A 4,846-nucleotide genomic window follows, 5' to 3' on the forward strand; every position below is an offset into this window, starting at 1 on the left:
GGATCACAAGGTCAGGAGTTTGAGACCAGCCTGACCAACATGGTGAAACCCAGTCTCAACTAAAAATACAAAAATTAGCTGGGCATGGTGGCACATGCCTGTAATCCTAGCTACTCAGGAGGCTGAGGCAAGAGAATCGCTTGAACCCGGGAGGCAGAGGTTGCAGTGAGCTAAGATCACACCACTGCACTCCAGCCTGGGCGAGAGAGTGAGACTGCATCTCAAAAAATAAAATTAAAAAAAAATCTCAGAAAATTATGTTTTGTTGAAACATACCTCAAAATAATGAAAGCCATTTATGACAATCCTGCAGCCAATATCATACTGAATAGGCAAAAGCTGGAAGCATTCCCCTTGAAAACTGGCACTAGACAAGGATGCCCTCTCTCACCACCCCTATTCAAATTAGTATTGGAAATTCTGGCCAGGGCAATCAGTCAAGAGAAATAAATACAGCGTATTGAAATAGGAAGAGAGGAAGTCAAATTGTCTTTGCAGATGACATGATCCAATATCTAGAAAACCCCATTGACTCAGCCCAAAAACTTCTTAAGCAATGTCAGCAATGTCTCTACAAAATCAATATGCAGAAATCACAAGTGTTCCTATACACCTTGTCTAAGCAGGGAGCCAAATCATGAATGAACTCCCATTCACAATTGCTACAAAGACAATAAAATACCTAAAAATACAGCTAACGAGGGAAGTGAAGGACCTCTTCAAGGAGAACTACAAACCACTGCTGAAGGAAATGAGAGGACACAAGCAGACAGAAAAACATTCCATGCACATGGATAGGAATAATTAATATTGTGAAAATGGCCATACTGTCCAAAGAAATTTATATTTTCAATGCTATTCCCATTAAACTACCATTGACATTCTTCACAGAGTTAGAAAAAAACTATTATAAAATTCATGTGAAACCAAGAAAGAGCTTGTATAGTCAGGACAATTCCAAGCAAAAAGAACAAAGCTGGAGGCATCATGCTACTCAATTTCAAACTATACTGCAAGGCTACAGTAACCAGAACAGCATGATGCCATATGAAAAGAGACACATAGACCAATGGAACAAAAGAGAGAACCCAGAAATAAGGCCACGCATCTACAACTATCTGATCTTTGACAAATGTCAAAAACAAGCAATGGGGAAAGGATTCCCTATTTAATAAACGGTGCTGGGACAACTGGCTAGACATATATGCAGAAAATTGAAACTGAACCCCTTCCTTACACATTATACAAAAATTAACTCAAATGGATTAAAGGCTTAAATGTAAAACCCAAAACTATATAAACCCTAGAAGAAAATCTAGGCAATACCATTCAGGAAATAGGCATAGACAAAGATTTTATGATGAAATCACCAAAAGCAATTGCAACAAAAGCTAAAATTGACAAATGAGATCTAATTAAACTAAAGAGCTTCTGCACAGGAAAAGAAACTATCATCAGAGCGAATAGACAGCCTACAGAATGGGAGAAAATTTTTACAATCTATCCATCTGACAAAAGTCTAATATCCAGAATCTACAAGGAACTTAGTCAAATTAACAAGAAAACCACAAACAGCCCCATTAAAAAGTGTGCAAAGGATATGAACAGACACTTCTCAAAAAAAAAGCATACATGCAGCCAAAAAATGTATGAAAAAAAGCTCAACATCACTGATCATTAGAGAAATGCAAATTAACACCACAATAAAATACCATCTCATGCCAGTAAGAATGACAATTATTAAAAAGTCAAAAAACAACAGATGCTGGTGAGGTTGCAGAGAAATAGGAATGCTTTCTACACTATTGGTAGGAATGTAAATTAGTTCAACCATTGTAGAAGACAATGTGGCTATTTCTCAAAGATTTAGAACCGGAAATACCATTTGACCCAGCAATCCCATTGCTGAGTGTATACCCAAAGGAATATAAAACATTCTACTATAAAGATACATTCACATATATGTTTATTGAAGCACTATTTACAATAGCAAAGACGAGGAATCAACCAAAATGCCCATCAATGATAGACTGGATAAAGAAAATGTGGTACATATATCACATATATGGTACATACATATGTGGTACATATACCACTTATACCATGGAATACTATGCAACCATAAAAAGGAAAAAGATCATGTCCTTTGCAGGAACATGGATGAAGCTGGGAGCCATTATCCTCAGCAAATTAATGCAGAAACAGAAAACCAAACATTGCATGTTCTCACTTGTAAGTGCGAGCTGAACATTGAGGACAGATAGACACAGGGAGGGGAGTAGCACACACTGGGGCCTATTGGGGGAAGATCGGGTCAGGGAGAGCGGTAGGGAAAAGAGCTAACGAATGCTGGGCTTAATACGTAGGTGTGGGGTTAATAGGTGCAGCAAACCAGCATGGCACATGTTTACCTATGTAACAAACTTGCACATCTTGCACATGTACCCAGAACTTTAAAAAATAAAATAATTTTTAAAATTCTGTTTCTTTCAGCCAGCTCAGCCTGGTTAAGACCTCTTGTTGAATAACTGACCAAATAAACTAGATGGCTATCCCTTTATGAAGATCTGATAAAGGCTGTATGAAAATAGACAAGCTATTTAAACATATAAACATTTTTCAGTATAGATGAGGTATTCTAAGTAAAATATTTTCAAGTAGAAAATAGCAAAATATGAAAGTAATAATATAATCTCATCAATTAGTTCTTTCTCTAGAAATGCATGGATGATTCAATATTAGGAACTTTTCATAAAATTAACTAAAGTAATAAATGGGAAGAAATGCACTTGAAGTTTTCACTAGTAGGAGTCAGAAGGTGGTCTCTGCTTTTTAGTTGGGCCACCCATCTTTTAGCCTAGAGACTTCCATCAGCAGGAGTCGAGAGGGAGACCTAAATACTGCATGATCTGTCAAGATATCGACCCCTCCATTGCCTCATAAACATGACCTGCCTTAGGGGCATTAAGGATTCCCACTTAAAATATTCCACACAGAAGCCCAGTTGTCTCAGGTTATACCTCATTAGACTACCACTCCCATAACCCCTACCATATGCCCATGAAATCTAATCCCATTTGCCTCTATACATACTGTATTCTAATACTTTTAACTTAACATTTTTCAAATCCTGGCATCCTGTCAATCTCTTTTCTAGGATTTACAATCAATCATCAGGAAATTCCCCATACTCTCAACCTTTTTCTGATATTTTGTTCCCATTCATGTTCTAGCAATAACCACTTCTTGGAAAACACTGTGTCCTCTCTAGCACACACCCTTCCAGTACTAAATTTTTCATTTTAAATCCCGTAGTTTCATAGGCTTGATGTTGAACTTGGTACCCTTTTATTTATTGGTTCTCCTCCCAGACTATATATCATCCGACCTCCACTTAAAAACACATCTTGAATATCATACTGAACGATGAACCACATATTATTGTTTCTTATTGTACTAATATATGGAAACACAGGTCTCTTAATCTTGAATATTTTAGCTCATGGCTCAGTTTAATTCTGCAACATTGCTCTTTCATAGTTTGAATGATTTCATTTTTCTCATATATGAACATTTAATAGGCTAGTGTGGCAAAGAGTGGGTATTTTGTTATGAAAACAATTTCTCTTTCTTTTTGACAAAGAGCTAGACAATATTTACAAGTCACCTTTATGTGGACATGTGGATGAATTATGGCTAACAGAATATTAGCCGTAATGTGAAAGACATTTGGTGTCACATTGTATTTCAAAAAATAAGTATACTTTCACATTATATTTCAAAAAGTAAGTGTACTTTTGTAACTTGACTACGCCTAATAATTTATTTCAAGGGATGAATGAAAGGTGAGAATTTCGAGACAAGGCTGATAATTTCCTTTAGGACACACAAAGGAATAGGGTAAATGGAAGCAAATACGAAGTCAAGTAGAGTTGCTTTGTTGATGTGTCTTTGATTTCTTTTATGATTTTATTTATTTTTCTATATAAAAGTAGATTTTAGAATAGGTTTTTCTGTGAGTAAAAATGACCCTTTAGAGACAGAGAGATTGAAGATACAGATGTGAAGAAATAAATAAATGTCAGAGATAGGAGTAAAGTTAAAAGGCCACTGATGCAGGCTGTTTTGATTTGGTAAGGGGAAAAAGAGTAAATTCCCTCAGATAGGTTTCCTACTCCCACTGAATTATGAGGCTAAGCCACTAGTTGAGATTGTGATTAGGAAATGAGGTGAAGACAGGTTGAAGAGAAAAGAGAAAGGAAAAGCAGCAAGTTCTAGAGGCCAAAGCCTAGGGCCTCCATTTCATGTAACTTTTTAATTTGCATTTCTCTGATGGCCAGTGATGGTGAGCATTTTTTCATGTGTTTTTTGGCTGCATCAATGTCTTCTTTTGAGAAGTGTCTGTTCATGTCCTTCGCCTACTTTTTGATGGGGTTGTTTGTTTTTTTCTTGTAAATTTGTTTGAGTTCATTGTAGATTCTGGATATTAGCCCTTTGTCGGATGAGTAGGTTGTGAAAATTTTCTCCCATTTTGTAGGTCGCCTGTTCACTCTGATGGTAGTTTCTTTTGCTGTGCAGAAGTTCTTTAGTTTACTTAGATCCCATTTGTCAATTTTGGCTTTTGTTGTCGTTGCTTTTGGTGTTTTAGACATGAAGTCCTTGCCCATGCCTATGTCCTGAATGGTATTGCCTAGGTTTTCTTCTAGGGTTTTATGGTTTTAGGTCTAACGTTTAAGTCTTCAATCCATCTTGAATTAATTTTTGTATAAGGTGTAAGGAAGGGATCCAGTTTCAGCTTTCTACATATGGCTAGCCAGTTTTCCCAGCACCATTTATTAAATAGGGA

The sequence above is a fragment of the Homo sapiens genome, chromosome 9 (assembly GCF_000001405.40).
Source record: "Homo sapiens chromosome 9, GRCh38.p14 Primary Assembly".
In the NCBI taxonomy this organism is placed as follows: Eukaryota; Metazoa; Chordata; class Mammalia; order Primates; family Hominidae; genus Homo; species Homo sapiens.